The sequence below is a fragment of the Homo sapiens genome, chromosome 14, assembly GCF_000001405.40.
Source record: "Homo sapiens chromosome 14, GRCh38.p14 Primary Assembly".
NCBI classification, from domain to species: Eukaryota; Metazoa; Chordata; class Mammalia; order Primates; family Hominidae; genus Homo; species Homo sapiens.
Window position 1 is genome coordinate 32,636,427 of NC_000014.9, and position 25,914 is coordinate 32,662,340.

Here is a 25,914-nt window from a genome sequence, read left to right on the forward strand (position 1 = left end):
ATGAGATTGAGAAGTAAATATTCGAGTTCTTCTATATAGATAGGTGCTGAGAGTGGCATTCGTGGTTCAAAGATGGGAAAGTTCCTGCTAGCCCTACAGTTACTCATAGCTGAGTGTGAGAGAGTGACATATAGCTCTGTGCTGTGAGTGCAGTGTGGTAAGTCATAATGGTAGAGAAGGATGTCTACACTGGGAATCACATAGCTTTCTGAAAGGGTGTGCTGGAATCAAATTTTAAAGAATGAATAAAAATTAGTCAGGTGAAAATGCCTTCAGAAAGTGTTCAGCATGACACTAGCAGGAAAACAATAAGTAATTCCACTGGGCTGTAGGAGTAGGAGTAAGTGGCATAAGATGAGGCCAGGAGGCAAGAGAGGAGCAGACTGTGAACGGACTTGTGTGACACCACTGATAGTTAAGAGGCACTTGTGAAGGTACTTAAGCAGGGGGTGGCATGATCAGCTGTGCAATTTAGAGGGGTCTCTAACAGCAGTGCAGAGGATGGTTGGGGGACACAAAATGGAGTCAGGGAAGGCAGTGAGAAGGTGGAGCCTCAAAGCAGTAACGCTGACAATATAGAGAAGACAGGATGGATCCAAGAGATGTTAGGGAGGTAAAAAGTCCTTGGCCTAGCCTATCATCTCTATTTATAATTTCCGTATCTGTAAAATGGGAATACTATTCCTACTGTGTACTCCATAGGTTGTGTTGGAAGGATTAAATGTAAAGCACCACTTAACATAGGGCCTAGTACGTAGAATACATTTCATAAATATTAGCTTATGATATGTCATAATACATCAGCAGAATGGGGTAACTGATGGGAAGAAAGCAAGAATGTAGTCAGCGCAGGCTGTTGAAGAAGTAATGAGTGAATAGCATTATATTCTGAGATAGGTAATTTTAGAGGAAGGATTGATTCTGAAGGCCAGAAGCCAGATTGTAGCAGGTTCAGGAATAAAATTTAGAGTGAAGAATTATAGAAAAGATAGATGACTCTAACAAGATATTTAACTGTGAAGGGAAGGAGGAAAATAATATCATAGCCAAAGGGAGATGTTTGATAAGTTTTTTTGTTATTTTATTTTTGTTTTTGTTTTGGGGTATTTGTAACATATAAGACTATGTGCAATCAAGTCAAGAGTCCAGAAGTAGTGACAAGGGGTAGATTGGTATAATGAACCATGAGATCTAAGTTGAAAAAACAGGAATGCAGAAGAGAGCTGATATAGAGGCAGGGATTAGAGTTACTTAGGACCTGTCTGGAAAGAATAAGTGCATTAACAATGAGATGAGGGTGGAGAGTGGGAGTTGGGAGAATCAGTTTGTAGTTACAGTGTGGGACATGGGAGTTTACATTCTAGATATGGCAAAAATATGATAATGGGAGTTGATTGCAGAATGGTGTAGGTCATCGGAACTGAGGAAGCCAAGAAACTGGGATGTGGGAAGAATCAATATCACTTACACTGGAATTGTCGGAAGCAGAATGGGAGTGGGTGGAGGAGGGAGAAACAAAGATCCCAGGGCAAGTGCCATAATCTTCAACCAATGAATCCAGTAGTGAGTCACACAGAGACACTCAGTATGAGTTTCAAAGGACATATTTTTAAATTAGGGTAAAGAAACAGTGGCTTGGAAAAGGCTATAAGAACACAAAGACTGACTGTCTTGTGCATATTATGGTGAGTGGAGAGAGGAAGACCGAGCAGCCTCTACATCTAAGGAAAGGGCTAGTGGGGATGTCAAGGGGGAATATGAGCTGGGAGCACTACTTGGGTGAGAGTAAGTGAAAAGACATAAGAAGGTCTCTCTCTTTGAGTACTGATGAAGACCGGCAAGGATGAGAGGCATAGTAGAGTTAACTGGTCCCAAACTTCCATTCTGATAAGGGCAGAGGCACTGGAGAATGTCAGCAGCCTGTGGCCTAACGGACAATATATTCAACTCTATTTTGTATGCCAGTGTTTTGTTTCTTTTTCTCTTCTGCTTCCAGTGTTTTTCCTATTTCACCGTGTATTAGCATTTCAGCCAGATATTTGAGGGAGAGAAATAGTGAGAAGAAATGAGCATACAATCAGGAGATGATTGCATATTGTCATGAAACCTTAAAAAATTGTTTTTGTTAAATAACTGCTGCAAAAGTTGATATTATCTAATGGCCTGATCCAAACAAAATGGTATTATAAGTAGGAAGACCGCTTTTCTTTCTTTTTTTCTTTCTCTTTCCCTCTCTTTTTCTCCTCCTTTCCATATAAGACACATATATTGAGTTTTAACTACCAAAGCACTGTTCTTGGTTGTTGGTAGGGTAGAGGGTAAAGGGTGGTATAGAATGAACAGAACCTGGTTCCTACTCCTAAGATTGTTATAGATAAGAAAACAGACTTGTTAATATTCATAATATATATAACTATAATATACAACATAATATAACTATAATGCCAGAAAAACATAGACTAAAATGAGGGAATGAATGATATCTTATGGAAGTATAGGGGAAAAACAAAGAATATGAAATGCTTTATGAATTAGTGTGTTTTAGTGGGAATTTTGGTTCTGAGATAGCAATAACACTTCCTAAATTTCAAAATCTAGGTGACTTCATATATATATAGGATTTACTTTGGTTTTCTTTCAACAGCATGGATAATTGACATACAAACAATATATGATATTTAAATGCTATTGCTATTGAGTGGTTCACACTAATGTTATGACCCATTAACACTTAGGAATAAGCCCTGAAGATGATTAAAGGAGTTATAGATGATTCAGAAGTATCTGCGTTGTTTTTGCATGAATGTACGTGAACTTATGGTTTGTGGCTAATCATTGATATGTGCTTAAAGAATAGAGATATTTGTTCTCAGAGAATAGAAGGTTTCAAGTATATGTCAGATTTTTAGAGGAAGGATGCTATAGCCATCTTCATCTATCTCAAGACAAGAGCTAATGATTAATTGTCTATTTAGCACTATTGGGGTGACAGTAAGTGAAATGTGTCTATATAGCACAACAATCCCAATAAAAAGAATCATTCATATGTGTATTTATTCATTCAGTTGTCAAGGGTTCATTGAGTATCTTCTATGTGCTGGAAATCACACCAAGCTTTTGTGGAAACAATAGTGAGCAAAACCAGACAGGATTTGTCCCCTCATGAGGCTTGAGGAAGATAGAGTGTAATCACATTTTCACAAATAAACAAAAAATTGCACCTGTGAAAAATACCACAAGGGAGAAGTCCAAAGTGTTAGAAGAACTAGTAGTTAATTTGATCCACTCAGGGAGGTTAGGCAAGTGTTCACCAAGGAAGCAAAATGGAAGATCTAAACAATGATTAGACATTAAACAGGGAAAGGGGCTGCGGACTGAAAATGTCTTCAGGCTGAAAGAGTATTAGTGATTATGAAACTGGAGAAAGACCATGGCACTGGAAGAGAGTGCAAGTAGGACTGGGTGTGGGGTGAGATTTGGGATGGAAGGAGCAGCCAGATTGCTTGGGGCCTTGTAGTTCTTCACTCTGAAGGCAAAATACACAGCAAGTAAACTCCATTTTTGTTAATATATTTTACCTTAATATAGATACATCTCAAGGCAAATGCCTTCCCAGAAATAAAATGGAAAAGACATTATTATGGTAGAGTATTTTAACAGAATACAAAAAATAATATTCTTCATTTTTTTTATTTTCAATAAAGGCAAGATAGCACACCTCTTCTTCACTCATAAAATAAATAAGAGGAAAAATAAGATCTGTAGCTCCTATCTTGTTTATCCTAATCAGGATTAGCTTTATCCTAATCAACAATCTTATATTCAACCTTAATGATATTTCATTAGCTTCTCAGAACCACCTTTCCTGTCTAGGTCTAATTATATCTAATGTAATGTATCTCAACTCACTATATTAAATCATTTTTAAAAAGCATTTTAAAAACATTTTAAAATCACTCCAGAGCTTTGATTTAGGCCCTAGAGAGGAATGAGTTCTGTTATTTCTTTTTGGGGTCCATGATCTGCCAATTTTCTTCTCAACGTGTCTTTTATTCTCATATTTTAAGGAAATGAAAGTAAACAATTTTCTTTTGTAACAATTGATAAATGTCTATGTAAATAAAATGCAAATGTAAACACCTGTTGTAATCAATTCTTAAAATAAGCCAGTTATTCAACATGCCTCACATTGTAAATAGAGACCAACTTGCTCTTGCCTGTGCTCACATTAGCCCTTACAGATAACCCTCGATTGACTGAGAATCTTAGGTACCTCCAGTAGTATATTCTGATATCCTTTTATACTCCAAAGAGATCAAGGTTCTAAATCTTATGAATGCTAAGCTTCAAAGAATGTGATTCAGAAATGACACAGAAATACTACTGAGAATCTGTGTAATAGTAGCATAGGACTCTGTTACAGAAATATGCAAACAAAAATGTACAAACAAAGAAATATACAAACAAAAGTCTGAAGATGTAAAATACATAAGTGAGGAATCATTAGCTGCTGCCATTTCCCTTTGATGACCTTTTGGTGATGTGTTTTCATAAACTACTGCAATTGGATGTACCACCTAGAGAATCCTCAGATTTCTTTCAAGGCACATCATGGATACCATATTTAATGAGACTGCAGGAGAAATAGATTACTGCTCTTCTACTCTCTGGAAGGTCGTTGTGAATTTTTTTTTCACTGAAAATGTTTTGGGACTGATAAAAACATGCCCATTCTCCATCTATGATGGTAATGAGTAATCAGGTGTGCATTTGATTAAATCTGGTATGCTTAGTGTTCAGAGGGTAGAACTGAAAGCAAAAGAAGAATGCAAATTATATAAATGGAAGAAGTGGAATATACAATAATATACAATACAAGAAAGGAAATCAGAAAACTAGGACCTTTTAGCCAAAGAAAAAGAAAATTTTGACTGGGTGTGGTGGCTCACACCTGTAATCCCAGCACTTTGAGAGGCCGAGATGGGAGGATTGCCAGAGCTCAGGAGTTCAAGACCAGCCTGGGCAAAATAGTGAAACCCTGCTAAAAAAAAAAAAAAAAAAAGAAAAGAAAAGAAAAGAAATTTTCTTGCTGTTTTTTAAGTAAAGCTGAAGGACTTATGTTAACTAAGTCTATTGGACTTAAGATTTGGGCTTGTTTCTAAGAGCAATGAACAGAAACAATGGCTTCCAGAGGACAATCCTTGAAGACTGGTGATGGAGACTGGTTGAATTTCATGTGGTCCCTAAATTTTACCCTGAGAGAAATAACAAGAGCTACAATTGGAACTTAAGGAAAGGCCAGTTTATTTGAGGAAACTAAAAATGGTGTAATTTTTAGGTATTTCCTTGATAAAATTGTGAAGAATGGGTACAAAAATTCCATCTAAGGAAAATGGGGGAGGGGAACACGTTTTTAGGGGATTGCATTTTAATGTGGAAAGAGAAAAAAATGAATATTCTTATGCTAGAAGTTGTTTTTGAAAATGTTCTCAGTGACTAGAGATTTGGAAATGGCAACTCGGCAAATACATGAAGATATCTTAAAGGAAAAAGACTGTTAACATTATTTTTCCAAAAGTATAACATCATTTACTTGGAGGAATAGAAATGATTAATATAGTCTTCTTGTTCAGGGAAGCTATTCCACAAGATAAAAGGCTAGTAATCTAATAACTAGCATATCAGTATTATTTTATTTGCTTTTTCCTGTTTGCAAAATAACTTCAGTGCTATCTTGTTATTGTTGTTATACTTGGCTAGTTATACATCTATGATAAGAGAACATAATTAATGTGAAAAATTATACCAAAATGGTTGTGTTTATTTTGTGTCACTTTAGCAATGCCCCTTCAGGAGTGCTCTTCCTATTTTCCACTTGCATTCAATAATAGGCTTGCAGCCAGTGGCATTGTATTTACACAGTTTTTGTCAAAACAATTTTATCGCTAATAGATTTTGATCTACGTTGGCTGAAAACTTCTGTTTCTGTTTAAAACTTTAATGTAATTTCATGCGTCTCTATTTCAGGCAATATAAAAACTTTTGAACTTACATATACTTGGCAGCTGTATAGTTTTTTCTTTCACTAAGTTGATTTATTTTTTACATAGAGGGAAAATGTCCTTAAAATTAGGCATCTCATTTTTAAATGGGCTCAGAGGAGAGCAACAAATTTGAGCATAGTCTGTTTCGTTCATTCACCGCAGAAAGGAGCATTTAAAAAATACTCCACATGCTGTGACCTTCAGGTGATTAGAATTGGTTACAAATATAAATGAATTCCCCATAAACATTAAATGATCCCTCAAGAAACCTTATTTGAGAATATGTAGAGATATATTTTCATTTCGATGCACAAGGATTTACATGTGTGATTCCCTATTAACATTACTCAGGTAAATCCCATTAAAAAATGGATATGCCTTTGTGTGTATAAATTTATACATGAAGCACAGTTAAAGTATATCAGTATTAATACTGTACCATGGGAATACCATATGACAAGGAAATTGGCAATACAATTAGAGTTTCACATAGTATTAGAATGTTTTCATTACAATAAAAAAAGTTTTCATGACAGCATAAAAGAATAAATCGAGACTTACTAGGACAACTAGAGCAAATCTGTACATTTCAATATAACTCTTATGAAACAAATGTAATAAGTAAGATTAATGCTCTGAATCTCTTAAAAGGGACTCTATTAATCATTGTGTTGTCCTAATGGATGACTGAAATCTTCTAGCCCTGAAAGTAGAAAGCAGGAATCAATGGTAAAACCCATCTACCAGGATGGATATTATCTTGAGAAAGGTATTCTGTTTGCCACCTTCTCTTCTTTTTGTTTTGCCTCTCCTTCTTCATTTTCTTCATACATTCTTTTCTTTTCTTTTTTTTTTTAGACGGAGTCTCACTCTGTCACCCAGGCTGGAGTGCAGTGGCATGATCTCGGCTCACTGCAACCTCTGCCTCCCGGGTTCAAGTAATTCTCCCGCCTCAGCCTCCTGAGTAGCTGGGATTATAGGCACCCACCACCATGCCCAGCTAATTTTTGTATCTTTAGTAGAGACGGGGTTTCACCATGTTGGTCAGGCTGGTCTTGAACTCCTGACCTTGTGATCTGCCCGCCTCGGCCTCCCAAAGTGTTGGGATTACAGGCATGAGCCACCACACCTGGCCCATACATTCTTTATCACCTGCTTTTCTCCTTTTCCCTTTTCCTTTTCTCCCTCCTGATTTATGAGCATGTTTTCTTTGTTGTTGTTTTTAAATATTTGAGCTATTTAACAAGAGTTACAGGTTTTCCTTATGCCAACTGTATGTCATCAGGAAGACATAAAGACAGAGACGTGTCCTTTATGAAAATGGACATGTGAACTGTACTGACCTTGATACTTAGTCTTGATTCTCTGCTCAGACTAAGCCATCTGAGATAGAAATTAAAAATGCATAGTTCTTCATCTTCTGTTAGGATTCAATCTGTAGGCTTAAATAAACTCATAATGCTGACTGCAGTTATTTGCCTTTTCCCCCTATTTCTTGTAGATATATTCACCTGACACACTGAAATATTAATGAGTCTTGTGATGCTCATGTGTGTACATTTAGAGAGCACATAATTTTGACTTATGAAAGTTACTCAGTTGCAGACCCTTGAGGATGAGACGTTTGCTGGAGTAGACCATTTCTAACAGATCATTTGATGTTAAATGGTCTGATTTTGTTTGGTGATCTACTATTTGCCACAGAATGATACAAAGGCACTGTAAGTGCAATGTCCACACAGAGCTTAGTCCAAATGGAGTTGGAGTTATTCTTCAGGAATTTGAAGGGGTGTTAGGAATAAGAAATTGCTACTCCAAATGCTGTCAGATAATATCCAGAGAAGTGACATTTTCTGTGAAGGTCATTGCTCTCTCTCTCTACCAAGTGTATCTAGGCTAGCATCAGAGAGGAAAGCTGTCAGTAATTTCTAACCTAGCTAGGTTGTATCTGGCAATGCTGGAGCAAAGAATTAACATGGTGCTGGTTTCTTGAGACATCCATTTGATCTCTGTAAATAGTGCCCAGGGGAGTTTGTTTCTAGGATGTTCCTGAGAGTTCTGCTGACCTAGGAAGTAAAAAAGGTTTTAAGTACTCAAAATCTTTTTTCCTAGTTTGCTATAAAGTTGCACAAAGTCTGTATAACAAGGCCGTGGATGGCTTTATTTCTCTATTGCATTTTGGGGACCAACATTTTTTTTAATCCCTTAGCCTCTGTTTCTCTCTGCCTCTGTTTCCTTTTCTCTATTCTCTCTCCTCACCAACCATCACAAACTGAAATGTCTGCATTTCTCTAAATATATAATTTATTTTTGTCCTTCTCAATTAATGTCCCTGATTGCATTCACAAAGAGCTCAATAGTTCTCCATATGATTACCCAATAAAATTCCCTTCAGTCTTTGTCAGGATAGACCTCTGCTTTTCTAAAAAGCCAGCATGATATTTCTGGTCTTTGACAGACTAACGGGTATATATACCATAATCAATGGATCATTCAAACACTGAAGTTACAAGCCAGTCCTCTCTCATTTATGGATTTATTTCTGTGACCAGCCTAAATCTTCTATCATCTTTGCTATAAAACATGCATTAGTACACAGCTAAAGGTGGTGCTATTATCTAACTAAAGAAAAAGAATGTTTATTTTTTATAGGGACCTGATCTTAAAAGGTTAGATTCTATTTAAATTTTGACTCTGTATATAGGAAAATTAGGTTATTAAATAAAAACCCAATAATTTTTTGTATATATAGTATTAGGCAAAGCTATTTCGTCCTAGAAGGAATACACTTAAAAGAGCAACGTAGCACCGAGGACATTTTCAACCTCGAATATTTTATGTGAATCCCATTAAGCTATCAGTAATGTTTGTTGCATTTATTTTCCCATCATTGCTGATTGTCAATATATTTGTGGGTAAACAGACAATCTATTTCATAACTGGGCTCCTCTTGTCATTTATGTTTCTATTTTTTAAATTTATTTATTAATTTTTTACAGACGGAGTCTCACTTGTTGCCCTAGCTGGACTTGAACTCCTGGGCTCACGTGATCCTCCTTCCTCAGCCTGCTGAGTAGCTGGGACTACAGGCTTGTGCCACCACACCCACCTACATTGTATATTTCTTGATGGCACTGCCTAGAATGAGTGACAGGGGAACTTACTCCTGTATTGATGAGCTCACATGCCTCAAACCAGGGCTGTGTTGAATTCAAGTAAGTCTGGCAAGAGGAGCAGGTGGGTGATAAAGGAGGCAGACACTGTTTATACACAATTCTTGGGAACCTGGCAGGAGGATCAGAGCCTGGCAGGGAAAAGGAGTCTTTGAGAAAAATATCACACAAGGCTGAATAGCACTTTTTAATGGAAAATTCTTGTTTTGACTCTAATTTTATGCTTAGATGCTTTTAATTTGATCCACATTTAATTTGCCATTCCTCGGAGAAAGCATTGATTATATGAAAAACTATCTGCTCTATTGCTAATGAAACAAGATTGGTTTCAAGGGCTACCATGATGGCATTATATTTTAATGGTGCCCACCTGGAAACATGGAAGCATGCACCACTGGAATCATCTTATCATCTGCAGGCCAACTCTTCTGGTTGTGATTGCTTGATAGATTTGTTAAAGTCATAGTTTTGAAGAAAAGTGAGTCAATATTGAGTATTGAAAAAGTGGGTAAAAAGCTAAGTTTGGACATTGGAGCTATAAGACATTATAAAGGACCATTTAAAAAACTAAAGGTCAGTTGTGTATCTGAGAACACCTATAATAATATATAATACATAATAAGATATAATAGATCTATAATAGTACATAACAGATATATAGATTCTCACAAACCCAATCATTTTGACACTGTGATGAAAAAAATAATGGTATTCAACACTAATATGACAAGTTTCAGAGAGACATAAATAGAGATTCTGAGTTTAGGCTAAGCAACTGTGTAGTAACAATTATTTTCGTTAGAAATCTGAAGCTGCACGCAAGATCTACCATAAGCGTTATATCAGAAAATTCAAATCTTTTATGTTTTAAAAATTAGGCTGCCATTATTCCTGAAATTCTAATGGCTGAACTAGCAACAGTAAAGATGTCCAGATTTCAATGAAATATATTTCATAAATTAGCTTATCATTGCACTGATTTAGCATGCCTAGCAGGTGAGAGACAAAAACATGTGTTATCTTCCCTAGGGAACCTTCAATGAATGTCATTCGGGCTTCATATGTCTTTCTTTTCTCCCCTTCTTGAACTGATATAAAATTCTAATGTGTGCCCTCTAGTTCCATCTTCATTGAAATCTAGCAAAACTGCTGAAGGTAAGGTAGTGGCAATGGTGCATGAAAAAAGGGAAAAGGAGTACAGTGATTCATGGCATACTTGAGGAAAGTTGCAATTGTTAACAGCTCTACTTTTGTATATAGACAAGTTAAAATATGTCATATATCACTGGTAAAAATAAAGTTACTAATCTTGCTAGTTTCTTAAAGTTCATAGGAAAGGCACTACAACTATTTTGATATCTTGAAAGTATTTCCATATGCATTTGAGGGCATACCATGTCACTGTATCCCAAAACAATAGTCAAGAAAGTAAATTTATGGTAGAACCATTAGTAATCTTGACAAGTGCATGCTGTTTAAATACCAGGAATAGTAGGTATTATGAAAAACCGTGCTTCATATATTATTATAAAAATGAAATGTGACAATTTCCAAGTATATATTAGCTCAGGCCAACATCCCTTATCTCTGAGTCTTTGTTCTTCTGTGCAAATTTGAACCTCTGATGCAATTGTAATTTCAGAAATGGTATTCATTGGTCTTCAGATCTGCAGATGCCAGTGCTTTCAGAGCTGGAAGATTGTTCTCCTTAGGCATTGTTTCCATTTGGTAGATGAGAAAACTGAGGTACATGACCATTTCTGTTTCCTTTAACTGGTAAGAAAAATAAGAGCTGAGAATCCCTCTCACTTTCACTTTTTGCAGTCTTCTTTTTGCCAATGGATACATCCTACCCTTTTCCCTTATCTTCTAATAGGAAGACTGAGCGGAATTTAAGTGGCATCTTCAGCTTTTAAGTGCAGCTGTCTAGCAAAAGCTTTGGCCAAAGTTTTCTTCTGATAATGAATAAGACAGGATAAAGGGGCATCAATGATTTCTAAGTCTTTAAAAAAAATCCACAATGTTGAAATCAGACTGCTAAAATCTAGGCAACAGATATTGGCACCACATGAGTGCTAAGTTACTATTCTTTGGAGCAATTGAAACACAGGACTTCATGCCTGTGGGACATTAGGCCAACATAATTCTAGTCTGCCCAACTCTATGAAATATGCCTTGTTATTCAGAGCACAAACATAATCAGTAGCCCTCCTGAAGTTAATCAAACAATTCAAAGTATCATATGATCAGCATGACTGTACGGGCTTTTCTCCATCACAAGAGTATTCCCTAAAAAGGTATACCATTAAGCAATATAAAAAATGCAAATTGTGCAAAAGGAAGTGTACCAAAATAGGGCTTTATCAAGAGTCTTTAGATCAGTATAATTCCCTTAATTGTCTTTTCATTTAAAGTAATGCAAAAGGAGGCTGTTAGTTCGCCTCAGTATCATAAGCATGAGAATTGTATGTGTTCCCATTTCTGTGACTTCAGCAATTTCCAGCTATGCATTAAGTCCCACACTTAGCTGGAGGAGAATTTAGAAGGAATTGTTTCAAAAACAGACGTTTTAGAAAAATGTTTATTTGAGCTGGATTTGCTTAAAAATTACAATAAAAATATCTCATTCTTGAGTAATATTCTGTTTCTATTGGTTGTCTCTCAGGTTGTGGCTTTCTTGTGAATTATGATTTGCCTATATAGAAATTAGTATTTTAGCACTATGTTGTTAATAATAGCGGTGATCATTTTCAGAATTGCCTTTTTGGTGAGCACATAGGAGGGTATTCCTCTTGGTAAGCACCTTAAGCAAGAAGGATTGGGTCTTCCTTTCTTGTTTATTACACTTCTCACTCTGTCATTATCAGCTCTGATGTTTAGTGAAAATGGTTTCCAATTGCCTAGATGTGCTTTGACAGAACTGACAGTAGAAACTGTATCTTAGCTTACTTGAATCAGTGCTGTAGAAAAGCACCCAGGCATGCTGAAGACAGCTTTTATGAGGTACATTTTGTCAGTGTAAACATTATGAAATCCAACACATTTGGAAAAGCATACTCTGTGTTTGTTAGGATGAATGAATCACTAATAGATTAAAGAGCACAGCCAAATAAACTTAGACTAGTCATAAGCATATGTGGCCTAATATTCAAATGTAGGAAATCCAATTAAGCTCTAGCTCTCCTTAGTTTTTCATTCATGAGGCGGTACCTCTACTGAAAAAGCAAATAACTAAAAAGTTTCTTTTACCAAAAAAAAGACATTGCATTTTTAAAATATAAGTTTGAAGTTAGTCTTCCACAGATAGCCAATTTAATTATGCTAAAAATGACATTTTTAATTAAACACCAAGGTAAGCATAAATGGATTTCAAAATAATTAATCAAACATCAAAAAATTGAAACCTTTTTCTGCTTGAGCAGCAGAAATGAAAGAACCAGTCTTCGGGTCTCATAGAGATTCAATCTAATTTAATTCTCTGTCTTCTCTAAATAAACATTCCTAAAACCTTTTTTTCATCTGGGGGAATAAGGATGAGAGGGGTAATCAATATTTCTAGCATTTTAATTAAAACCGTTAGTGGAATAAATCCATTTAATTATCAGTTAATGAAATACAAGGTCATTTACCTGACAGGAACTTTGAGGGTGGATTACTAGCTGGAATAAAGCAGAAGAACCCAATGTCACAGCCATTTAACTTCTGTCAAATTTAAGGTTAAAATCCTTTTAGACTGTTTAACCTATTCTCTACCATTTTCCTATTATGTATGCCGATTGGCAGGAGAAATGCATGTTAAAACTTATTTTACATTTAATTATGCTACAAAGTTTTCATTAAATTTCTAGAAATTTCTTTATATTTCTAAGGCATAAAGTGAAAAGTTACAATAAACTCCAATGTAATTTTGTTGTTATTTTGTGTTTATTATTTATAAAGTTAAACTGACATCTTTTTCCTTACTGCAAATCTTATGAATTGTTTCTTTTTTTGTAAATATGAATTAATAAAATATAAGTTTTAGTCTGTAAATTTAGGATGCAAACATGGAACAAATGTGCAATAATAAATCACTTTACATAATTTATGGTTAATTTTATATATAGCCCCTTTTTTGAAGTAACCTCCATTTCATCAGAATAATATAAAAAAGTAAGAGCTGGTTGATCACTAAGCTAGATTTGCAATTGGTTTGGTAAATGGTTTTAAGTCAGTTTAACAAATGACGAGAAGGCACAAGATTGTGTTGTAGAGGAAAGTTCCTTTTCTTTGATGGTGACACTGGATTTCTCTAGGCAGCACACACTGCTCATATTTTATATAGATCACTTTTAGAAACAGAGGCTGAAAAGGGCTCTTGTTCTTCCTTTCCCCAATAAAGATGTTGAATTAATTATCTAGGGTTTGGATTTTTATTTTAATTTTGTATATTTGAGTTTGTCTCACAGCTATAAATTTCAGAGATAAAAAAGATAACTTGTTTTGGGTTCTAGTTCTTCCTTTCTAAAATGAAACTCCCTAAACACTAAAGTAGTGGTTCATGCAAATGAGGATATCCAGTTTTAACCTGTGCTGCTTCCCCCTAATTCACCTTAGCTGTGTACCATGCAAGAAGCCCAACATAACGCATAGCGGTTTGTCTTTCAGACATACCAGTGCGGCATTCTGACTTCTAGATGCTAAATACAGCCGGGCGCAGTGTCTCACACCTGTAATCCCAGCATTTTGGGAGGCTGGGGCGGGCGGATTGCTTGAGGCCAGGAGTTCAATACCAGCCTGACCAACACGGTGAAACTCCATTTCTACTAAAAGTACAAAAATTAGTCGGGTGTGGTGGCATGCCTGTAATCCCAGCTACTTGGGAGGCTGAGGCAGGAGAACTGCTTGAACTTGGGAGGTGGAGATTGCAGTGAGCCAAGATCATGCCACTGTACTCCAGCGTGGGCAACAGAGTGAGACTCTGTTTAAAAATAAAAAAATAAAAATAAATGCTAAATACCATTAATTTACCAAAATTCATGTCACCTAAAAAAGAAAAGTAAACCAATGACCAGTTCAAATGTGTTTTAACTGGACCAGGGTTCCCCAAGAGGTGGAATAATAATGAAAGCGGCATTGTTCACCCTGTTTTGCGTTTACCTAGACTATGCATAGATTTTTAATACTTTGAGAAAGTAACAAAACCTGTTTAAAAGACTTGTTTAGGCTGGGTAGTTCTGATAACTCTATTTACTCTATTTTATATTTTTATAAATGTAGATTTTTATAAATGTCCTTGTGACTCACCAAAGAGGATTGTAAAGTTTGCTTCTTTTAAGCCGTAAGGTAAGACATATGAAGGAAAAAAGTATCCATGATACCCAATTATTCCATCTTTGATTGAAATACAGAGAGACAACTAGAGATTGTGTTGCAAGAACCAGAGGGCTTTGGGACTTGTGTAGGTTATTTGGTGCTCCTCATACTGACTGGTCATAGGAATCTGTGCAGGCCTCTTTGCCTTTTAACATATATTTTAATGGCTCCCACCTTGGGTACCCACTGACACAATTATAAACTATGCAACGTCTGCCTTGCTCACTCCTCCACATTCCCACTACTTTCTAGTTTTTAAGCAAGGTGTTCATGATTATTGTAGTGTCACGGCAGCCAAGAATCATGGGTTTAATAGGTTCATCACTCTTCTAAATTGTTTGACCGGCTCTTTGTCACTATGGTGGTAATGGAGTATCTAATTGTTGCGGATAGTCTAGGCTATGCTATGTAGGGTTGTATTCATTGTTTGTTTTACTATAATAATATACCTGAGACTGAGTAATTTATAAAGAACAGAAGTTTATTTTCTCACAGTCTGGAAGCTGGGAAGTGAAGTCCAAGGTCAAGGCACTGGCAGGTTTGTTGTCTGATGAGGGTCCAGTCTTCACTTCCAAGATGGTGCCTGGTGGCTACATTCTCCAGAGAGGGTGAACTCTGTGTCCTCACATGGCAGAAGGAATGGATAAGCAAGAGCACACTCCCTTTGACCTTGAATCTTTATATAAGAATGCTAAGCCCTCATGACTTAATTACCTCCCTAAGGCCACACTTCTTAATACTGTTGCATTGGGGAGTAAGTTTCAGCATAAATTTTGAAGGGGACACCATCATTCAAACCATAGTGTGGATTACTTGTACCTCTATGTATTGTAGAACATCCACTTACTGTTGAGATTATTAACAATAAATCATTGCAATTTCCTTTTGGTCCCCTTACATCTTAGGCCCATTTTTTATTGAGTACTCTTTTTCCTGCCACCCTTTGGCTGTGGATTCTAGACCATCTGTTCTTCCTTATATAGTATGCATATTCCCTTAGGAATCTTATCATTTGGGATGATTTTAGCTACCACTATAGGCAGTGGTGTCCGGATCTACATCTTCGGTTTAGTGTCCACCCACTTTGCATGCTATGGTTCCATGCTCAATTGACTCTAGAAGACTGCTAGTTTTATATACTGTTGTCACCTAAAAGTTTCCATAATAATGAAGTTTACCACTTTCTTTTCTCCCATCTTTTCCGTCATTTTATCCTTCCAACATGCCAGGCTCCTTAGCAATAGAAGCTGAAAATAATTTTCACTGTTCTTCTCCCCTTTTGTTCCCAAATGGGAGCCACCAGCCACCAAGAACTGCTGCATCTTCCTCGACTAGGCCTCTTGGCCTGATTATGTTTTTCTATTTCCCCACCTGGCCTAGGAGCCCAGGCCTTTATCTATTTATGTCTAGATTACTCCACCTGCCTCTTACCCAATTTTCCTTCACTTTCTTAGAAATCCAGAATATCAGGGAGCTGGATTATTTTTAAGCATTCTTTTGCCTTCTGATCTTTATAAAATCACAAAATTTCTTACAAGGAAATTCCATCCATTATAATCATATCAGATTAAATCAAATATATTTTGCATTTTCTTTAAAGATACTGCCAGCCATCACACCAGATTAATTTTTCATTTCCAGCCAGGAAGACTTTACTCTCCATTCAAGCTACAGCTCTACTGCTATCCCCTAGGCTTGCTCACCTTTCTCCTGAGTTGCTATTTTCTTCCCATTCCTCTTTCTGAATGCACATCTCTAAAATGTCCATCATTAGAGTGGTGCAGTGGCTCATGCGTATAATCCCAACACTTTGGGAGGCCAAGGTGGGAGGAATACTTGAACCCAGGAGTTTGAAACCAGCCTAGGCAACACAGGGAGACCCCATCTCTACAAAAAATTTAAAAATTAGCTGGCCATGGTGGCACATTCCTGTAGTCCCAGCTACTCAGGAGGCTGAGGTGGGAGGGTCACTTGAGGCCAAGAGGTCAAGGCTGCAGTGAACTGTGATTGTGCCACTACACTCCAGCCTGGGTGACAGAGCGAGACCCTGTCTCAAATAAAATAAAATAAAAATAAATAAATCCACCACTTATTTACAGCCAGGGACAACTTTGCATGTCATAACATTTAAAGTGTGGAAGAGTCACTCAATTAGTTGGCATATATGTTTGGCCTCGAGTTAGGTATTCTGTCATCAAAAATTTAGCTACCATGTTTGGCCATTTTTTCTCCTTTCCCTTTTATTTATTAATAAGTGTTGTGATATAGTTTGGATTTATGTGTTTGTCAGATTTGAACTCCACCCAAATATCATGTTGAATTGTAATCCCCAATGCTGGAGGCAGGGCCTGGTGGGAGGTGTTTAGATTATGAGGGCTCACTCATGGCTTGGTGCTATCTTTCTGATAGTGAGTTCTCATGAGATCTGGTCATTTAAAAGTGTTTGACACCTCCCCTCCCCTCACTCTCTCACTTGCTCCTGCATTCTCCATGTGACACACCTGCTCCGTCTTCATCTTCCACCATGATTGTAAGTTTCCTGAGGCCTCCTTAGAAGCTGAGCACCATGGTTCCTGTAAAGCCTGCAGAACCATGAGCCAATTAATCCTCTTTTCTTTATTAATTACCCAGTCTTAAGTATTTATAGCAATGCAAGAATTGCCTAGTACAGTTTGTCATCAATTTTCTTATCTATAAAAAGGGAATAATAATAATTATCTTGAAGAATACAATGAAATCGAGAAGTATTAAGTAATAAGTTTGTATTCGTTCATTTGCTTTCTCTGGTCTTTGTGTTAGTAAAACTAGGGCAAATAAAATATTGCCTCATTTTTATTTATAGTCATGATTTGAGTTCAACAGAAAAACATAGTAATTGATTTCCATCATTTCACATTCATGTAAGTTGAATGAGTGGCACTTTCTGAGTTTCTGCGTATTAAAAACCTATACAGACTCATAGTAGCAAATCAGATGGCCCATGTCTTGGGCCATTTGGGTTCTTCTGCCATGCGCACAAGTCTAATTTGAAATCATTGTACCTTAAACTCTTAACTAATTGCTCAAACTTAAAGTCATTATTTCAGATCTTTATTAAAAATCAGACTTTGCCCTATAAAATGCCCATAATTTTTAGCAGCTATATATCTGCTGTGTAATTTTCTCTTTCAAAAAATGTCATACTCAATTTAATATTGGTGTGTTGTTTGCAACTGGCTGGGGGAGCTATGTGAAGCCATTACAAACTCTAGTTTCACAAGAATTGGACTCTGAAGCCTGCACCACTGAAACTCTGGGTCTGTTTTTCTGACACAGTCCCACAGCATATTTCTCATACCCTGAGGGCTACCCTAGCGGATGTTCTGTTGTGGAATGAAATGGCATTGACTAAAATGAAAATTTTCTTCTCTGTGAGAAAATGTATTGAAAAGAAACCAATCACAAATGCAACAAACCAATTAAATCAAAACAAAACACACAATTCTGTGAATTAATTAGGTAGGGTGAAATATACCAGACTGATAGTCTTTTTAAAAGATACCTTGTACACAATTAGAAATATTATGGGCTGAGCCAGCTGGCTCAGGCCTGCAATCCCAGCACTTTCAGAGGCCGAGGCAGGGGATTGCTTGAACTCAGGAGTTCAAGACCAGCCTGGCAACGTGGCAAGACCTTGTCTCTACTGAAAAAAAAAAAAAAAATTAGCTGGGCATGGTGGCACATGCTTGTGGTCCCAGCTACTCAGGAGGCTGAGGCGGCAGGATAGCTTGAGCCTGGAATATCGAGGCTATAGTGATCTGTGTTTGCACCACTGCACTCCAGTCTGGGTGACAGGGCGAGACCCTGTCTCAGGAATAAAAAAAAAAAGTATTATGAAGGAGCTATTTTTACACAATATATAAAGGATACAAAAAAATCATGCTTTAAGGACTTCTATAAAGTCACAAAATAATGTTTGCAGAATTTGCAACCACAATCTTGTTTATTACACAATTTTTGGGTGGTAAAATATTTTCATGAGGAAATCACAACTGAGAAGTTGTTTTCAGAAAAATTCGTCAAATAGGAATAAGATATTAATGAGTAAAATTGATTAATGAAGTAAAAATATTGACTATCAGGAGACGAGTGAATATGCAGCAGATTAGGAAACAATTGACTGTACCAAAGAATGACTGTATCACCACAGAAATGAATTTTATTTCAGTTAAGGTATGAAGGCCCTACTTACCTAGTCATTAACATTCTTTTATTTTCCTTATACCTTGATGTCTCCAGTAAACTGTGTGAAACTGGATGTGATTTCTCCACTAGAGCGTAGATGCAAGATGTTAACTGTAACTGATACTAAGTGTTAAACCATATGGTATATTTGAACAATTTATTATTGAATCTCTTAGTAAATCTTTTTAAATGTTGAGGTCAAGTTTTCAAGTAACTCTGATGTGTCAGGCAGGGTCCTAAATATATTGGGAAGTCCTTAACTTTAAGAAGCTCATAATTTAGTTGGGAAGCTAAGACTAGCAGATAGATCTCTGCCAATGCAAGGTGGTCAGTGATACATAGTGGATGAATAGAGACATAGAATTGGGGAAATGAAAGAGTTGTTCGTGTTGGCCCTTAGAGGACTTTTTGGTTTCATCGAAGTAAGAGAGCAGATTAGAGAAAGCGTTTCATGCAGAAGAAATATTTGCAAAAACTCAGGGTCAGGAAGCCTTTCTATTTGGGAGCTGGTGATAAATAGACAAATTGCCTGGGGAAGATGGTTATGTAGAAAGTAATGAGAGATAAAATTTTAAAAGGAGATTAGGGTCAGACTGGGGAAAGCGTTTTTTACCAATCTAACTTTTTTGTCTAGGTAGGTTGCATGGACCATATTGTCCCAGATTTATGGTGATCATGTTATAGAATATAATCAGAAATCTAAAGAAAGTCAATGTATGTTAGATCTGTCTCTCTTAAGATAAATCTATCTGTTTTTCTCAAGATAAATATCTCTCGTCTAGATATTTCAGTGAAAGTCAGAGTTGGTTGACATGAAACATAATAAAAATCTAGCCATCTAGTGATAAAGTAAGTATTAAAAGTAGAATACCAACAGAACTAATTTGGATTTTTTTAAATAAATGTGTTTGGAAAAATCTCATGCTTAAAATGCACTCATGAAGCAATATTTATAGCGTGTATGACTATAAAGATATATTAAACATAAACATAAATCTTTCTGTTTTATGTGACTTTTATTATCTGCCCATCAAATTTAGTTAATTATCAAAGGTGACTCTATTTAATGAAAGCTGTGTCCCAACAAAACCTATTTTCTTCTCCCACAGTGATCTACAAAGAAGTTATGAGATTAGGTACAGAGTATTTTGCTCACTTTCATGACCACTGCCTGTAGTATGAGAAATAGAAGACAGTGGTTTCTCTCCTTCTTAGCAGTTCTCCAGATTTACTCTGAATAAGCATCACCTGGGAGTGCCAGCCAAAACTGACTCACCTGGGAAACTAAGATTTATTCAGTCCTCACTGGGCCTGGGAATCTGCATTTTAGTGAACCCACCAGCTGATTCTGAAGCTGGTAATCTGAAGACTACTTTCTGAGACCTAGAATGAAGGGGAATACATACGTTTAGTGTAGAGCAATCTTTCGCTCATAGGCAATTGTTTTAAATATTATTGACAGTTAAGTAAATGCCTGTGTTTATACCCAGTTAAGTAAATGGCTCAGTAGTTGATGCTATTGTTCCACTCCTACATCTCTGAAGGACTTCTCTAAGGAAGGCCCTATGAACTTAAAACCTACAAGGAAGTTCGTGAGGGTTTGTCACATGTTTATAAAGCAGGGTTCTATGCTTCTTAAAGCCCTGGCTGTAAATATGCTTCTCTCTGTTTATCCTGCTTATACCTTTCCTGAGTGAAAGCCCAACTGAATTTAATTAGCAGAGCATAAATAGTACTGACATATGGCAATCCAATATATGGAATTTTGTCATAATACAGTTTATAGAATAGGGGAAGAATTTGATAAAGACTCCACAAATTCACGTAAACAGAACTGAGAGGTGTCCTTGCACCTATTTACAGGGTACTGCCCTCAGCGCAGATCCAGAAGAATGGCCAGATCCTGCATGATCTCCTGGGAGCCCTGGCTCTGATTTGACATAGGGAAAAAGGTCAAGAAAATCACTGTAACTTGGGGTATGGCTTTGCAAACCCAAGAAACATTCATTTCCCCATTTGTTAGTTGAAAAGGAGTACAGAGAAGATGCTGACTCATGCTGACCCTGTAGTGGCTGTGATGAAATAACCCGTGGCAGGAACAAGAAGAGAGAAGCGCAACCCTCGGTAGAGTCAATGGAAGCAATTCCAATGTTAGTAACAGCTTAAAGCAGCAAATGAGCCTACAAATCTGTGAGTGCTGCTCCCTAGCTCTTTTTCTCTCATTACACCAACATTTACCACAATGGACCTAATTTTTGAGATTTTCAGTTTAGATTTAAACGAAAGCTCATGAGATCCAGGACACTTTTTGTCATGGTCTTTCAGATTTCTCTGTGTCTAAATATTGCCTTATATCCAGCACGGGCTTACTAGAGACTTTGTTGTTTTTAATTTTGATCTATCTGCAGTATTATGATTGTTTTTCTTAATGCTTAATCAGGAAGGATATGATTACTTTTTCTGTGAGTGTACATGTTTTTAAAAGCTCACCATTTTTTTTTTTACCATAATTTTATCATGTCTTGGGATAAAAGAATACAATGATCTGCTACATGGATACCATTTCTACAGTACTTCTATTCCATATAATGATGATGCTGTTTTCATTAAAGTAATAAAAAAAATCTATACAGCATATGAGCAGGATTTGAAAGTTGGCACATCTAATTATCATAGTAAGGAAAGAACATGAATGCCAATTTTATATTTAACAAAAGTCATCCTTAATTGTTGGTGGTCGCACACATGGTAGATTGACAATAAAGAACTAGTCTAGCACATTTGGATCTTAAACATAAAACAAGGCAACGTAGATTGTTTTAAAAATGAAGTTTGTGCTAGTCTGAGACCTCAGGTATTAAATGTCTTCAGAAACTGGTGCTTTCTTTGATCCCTGAGAAAGATAAGAAGAGGTTAGGAGGTAGATGGTCACATAGATAATGCTACTCTATATAGTGATTGATTTATTACATATAAGGAAGACGACAGTCTATGGGGATTTTTCAAGCCAAAAGTCTCCTGCCTTGCAAATGATCATTGAGAGATTACAATGTAACTCCTGTTTAAAATGTGAAAGCTGTTGGCTCTATAATTTCTAAAGAGCATCCTTTTTTATTTTAATGATGTTTTCACTCATATTGTACATATCTCCCTGTTTAATATTCTAAATTTGATGTGTACTTCAGAAGTGATCACTGTTTTGTGATTTACAACCTTGGAGAAAAATAACATAGTAGTCATAACTTTGCAGTTTTTTGTGATGCATGAAGATCAGATTTTTTAATGTTGGTTAATGCTTTGCTAATTAAAGTATGCATGTTAATTAAAGCAGAGGCTAATGTTAATTACCTATATTAATGGAATCTCATGTAGCACCTGCCTGAAGCAATGGGTTCAATTTTCAAAATATCTCAATTAAGGCTGAAACTTTTGATTTGCATCTAGTAGGGTTTCAATTAACTGCATTGAAAACTTAAATAACACTCTTAGGGGTGCAAAATATCAGTGATTATATGAAGCACAGTGGAGTTTGGTAGGTTCATTTTTAAAGTCTTCTTTAAAAAAAAAAAAAAAGCCTAACTATATTTCTTTCTTGTTTACTGGCCAAAATTCTGTTTACTCACCAAGACCCAGTGAAAACACCACTTCTTCCATTAAGTATTTTCCAATTCTCAACCAACTACCAGAGCTTCAGTTTGTTGTTCTTATTTATTTTATATTATTCTGTTTTGTATTATAGTTAGTTGTTAGAATTTGTGTCCTTTGCTAACTAGAAGCACCTTGTCTTTATCACTTACAAAGACAAGCACATTTGACAAGACACTAGCATGTTTTGTAAGTTGAAGACACTCTTTAAATGTCTGTAAAACCAGTAAGTACATTTATTGACTAAAGTGGATATGAGTGAACTTTTAGCACACGATGATTCCGCTGTTGCTACATTCATGGCTGCTCCAAGTAAAACATGAAGCTGCTGTTTGAGATCTTATTGCTTTTCAAATAAAAGATTGGCGTTTTCATTAATTTCTGTTAAATCTAAGCTGGAATGGGGAAGAAGTTACCTGTTCAAGTAAAAATAGTGTTATGAAACCAAAGAACATGTGTTTGTGCTGTCAGGGATGATGTTAACATCCTCTTTTGGTCCTAGATTTGTATTCTGACTGTACTGCAAGCAGATCTGCCTTGTGACCATAAGCACAAATACTTTAAACAAGCTGTCCATCTAAGAGAGCCATCAAGGGTTGGTGTTATTTCGGAAGATAAGACATGGAGTCATCACGTGGTGACAGCTCAAATCTTAAAATAATTAATTAAAAATATAGATTACTGGAGACAAGTACATTGTAATTAGTATGGATATCAGTTTTCCTGAACTTATTTTTATGTTTGCCAAAGTCCCAATAACAACCATTCCCACTGGGCCTTTGGAAGGGATTATGAGCTAATGGTACTAACCTTTTCGACATCTAGCATAATGATGGTTTCAGAAAAATAGTTTCCATAATTGAAGGGAGCAATAATCTCCTCAATAAGTATATACAAATAGATTACACACTGATTTACAGTCCCTGGAAATCTGCATTGATAACTGCTGTGCCTTGGCAGACTTTGACTCTGATAACTTACCATCAGTCTCAGAGGGCTAAGATTTGTCTTCATTCAGCTGTAGAGAATAACAAACAAACATAAGATTTCCATGTATAAGGTGTAACCGACAAGGTGACACAAAAGACACATAACTGCTTACTGTACTGATGTGCTATTGGCATGCTGGTTAAAAAAAATATATATATAAAGAAAGGTAAAAGGGAATCGTATTGATTGGACAAGAAGATGTTAGCTGTTGTCTTAATGGCAGAACCTATGATAGCTGGAAATAAGACGTGAATGTGTCCATTAATGAAGAGTGATGCAGGTTTAGATTTGGTAGTGAGAGCTCACATATTTCATGTCACACCGGTTTAACATTGGCTAGTTAGTAGATGGAATAAATGCAACAACCAGTTGGAGGAATGTGACAGATGTGCATATCAGACTTTCCAGGATGAGGCAATGGGCCAGGTCTTTATAACTTGAAGAGCAAAGTCACCAAAGCAGCCTTTCCCCATTGTGCCACCATTAAGGTAGCAGATGGCAGAGCATTAGCAAAAAGAAATTGAGAACAGCTGGACAACATCTGGTAGGAAGTGACAACCTAATGGGTATGCTGGGTTGTTCCTAATTGTGGGCAATCACTCAAAAAGCCTGGAAAGAAACTTCAATGTGTTGGTTGGTGGGAGGAAGAAGTTCGTCAGAGCAATAAATTCTAGTTCAGGAATTTGAGGGAATTCTGAAAAGAAGTGACTTTAGAGCCTGGCCAAATGAATTATGGAACATTCATTTGTTTCCCCCCAGGTTCTAAATAAGAACAAACTTTTTAAAGGAGTTTGTGAGGCCTATCTGGACCTGGAATCTACTTTAGGTAGATATTCGATTCATGAATACTATTTAAAACGTGAGATTCTGAGAGTATATGGAAAGGTTAGATGTTCACAGAGAATATGGAAATGCTAATTAAACTGGGGTGAGGGAAGTGGAGTATTTAACAACTCAATTCACCATTCCTGTTTCTTAATTTACTATCTTATGGCTTTTCTGGGACCTAGATAAAATTTAAAAAGCTTTTTGGCTATTTCTAGCTCTATATATTTTCTTCCCCGCCACCCCCCCCCCTCCCAATTCCAGCCATTTGTCCTTGTGTGTCTATATCTCATTGCTCCCTCTCCTGCTTTCTCACAAGGATCACCTAACTTTTCATGACCTCTCTATCTTTCAAGACTCAGCACTGGGAGAGTAACATTTCATTTTGGGAAATGTAGAGAAATAGTGACAAATAGGTAGAAAGGAGGTCAGAAGGAACAGGGATAGTGTCTCCAGAAAGGAATAGTAGGAAGTCAAAATGCAGAGAAGCCAAGGGCTCAACATGTGCTGCAACTCCAGCCCTAAATTTCTAAATTACTACAGGACCTCCTATAAATCCTACATATCAGTAAATCGTGATAATTGTATAATAATAAATCCTGCTGCTGATTGGGAACTAGCAATCAGAATTGGAAAGGAAAAATTCTCACAATGAGGCTTCATTGCTTACCACACCCTGGATATTTAAAGGGAAGGAGTGACAAAGCGGTTGCATGGTAAGCTATAACAGGGCACGGTAATCAGAGTGTGCAGACAAGGAATGCACGATTGTGCACACTGCCAAAGGTGCAGAATCAGTGTCATTCCTGGAGGCAGTGGGAGCAGAGAGTTTCGATTAAGTCCAAGACTCATAAGACAAGTACATTGGGCCTTGCAGAAAGTGACCCAAGTACATACCTTACTCAGTAGACTTGATGCCATACCCCGGCTCTTTTAGTTGTCCATGTCTGTGCTGGCAGCCTCAGTCAGGGACTAGCTAGAGACTGGAAATCATGGTTTCAGGACTACTGGTTAGAGGCAATACCTAGGATGGTGAGTAGAAAAGCACTGGAGTTGGAGCCAGAAACCCCTGGTTCTTCTTCTCATTATCTATGTGACTTTGGACAAAGTAATTTATTTGACCTCTGGCTTCTGCATCTGCTAAATGGGGATAATGACACCTGATCTACCTGTGCATAGCACAAGGTTGTTGGGATTATCAAATGAGATAATATACATGAAATCACAAGTTATGAAAGTATGAATGTTATTATCAAAGTATCAATATCCTATTACCAAGTGATTCCTGATCAAGCAGAATATGACTCTCAATGATGATTTAAGCATTTATCTAGGTACCTAGTGAACAGTGAACTGAAGTAGGTGAACCCAGGATTACCACAGCCAATGAATCTGTTAATTTGCATACTCTTGCAAATAAAAGGACAAAATCAATACTTCTTTCATAGTATAATAGATTATTTGGAATGAAACTATAAAATATAAATAATTATGTAAAATATAAAATTTTATAGTTCTCTTTAAATATCCTGTAAAATGGCAGAGAGGTTCATTTTGGGCATGGGATTCTGACTAACAGTAGAATGTTTGTCATTTTAAAAAAATACACTTCTCTCTTAGGACTGACTCTCAAGCTGTGAAGTAGCAGATTGCCAATA

The 25,914-nt window shown here is 36.6% G+C and overlaps 1 protein-coding gene and 1 long non-coding RNA gene across 15 annotated transcripts in view, besides 1 other annotated feature; one reads left to right on the plus strand and one right to left on the minus strand.

Annotated features, from left to right (window-relative positions):
* Nucleotides 1-25,914, plus strand: part of AKAP6 (A-kinase anchoring protein 6) — a 508,387-nt gene that overhangs the window by 307,129 nt on the left and 175,344 nt on the right. The gene's annotated exons all lie outside the window — the stretch shown is intronic.
* Nucleotides 20,091-24,079, minus strand: LOC124903298 (uncharacterized). The gene is made up of 3 exons (XR_007064109.1): nucleotides 23,991-24,079; nucleotides 23,423-23,459; nucleotides 20,091-20,179 (listed from the first exon to the last, which is right to left on the minus strand). It is a non-coding gene; the product is annotated as an uncharacterized LOC124903298 (long non-coding RNA).
* Nucleotides 20,882-20,951: an enhancer, noted in NCBI's record as "active region_8241". NCBI's record gives its function as "activates an Ori minimal core promoter by ATAC-STARR-seq in GM12878 lymphoblastoid cells {active_cell/tissue: GM12878}" and the evidence as "EXISTENCE:reporter gene assay evidence [ECO:0000049][PMID:35858748]".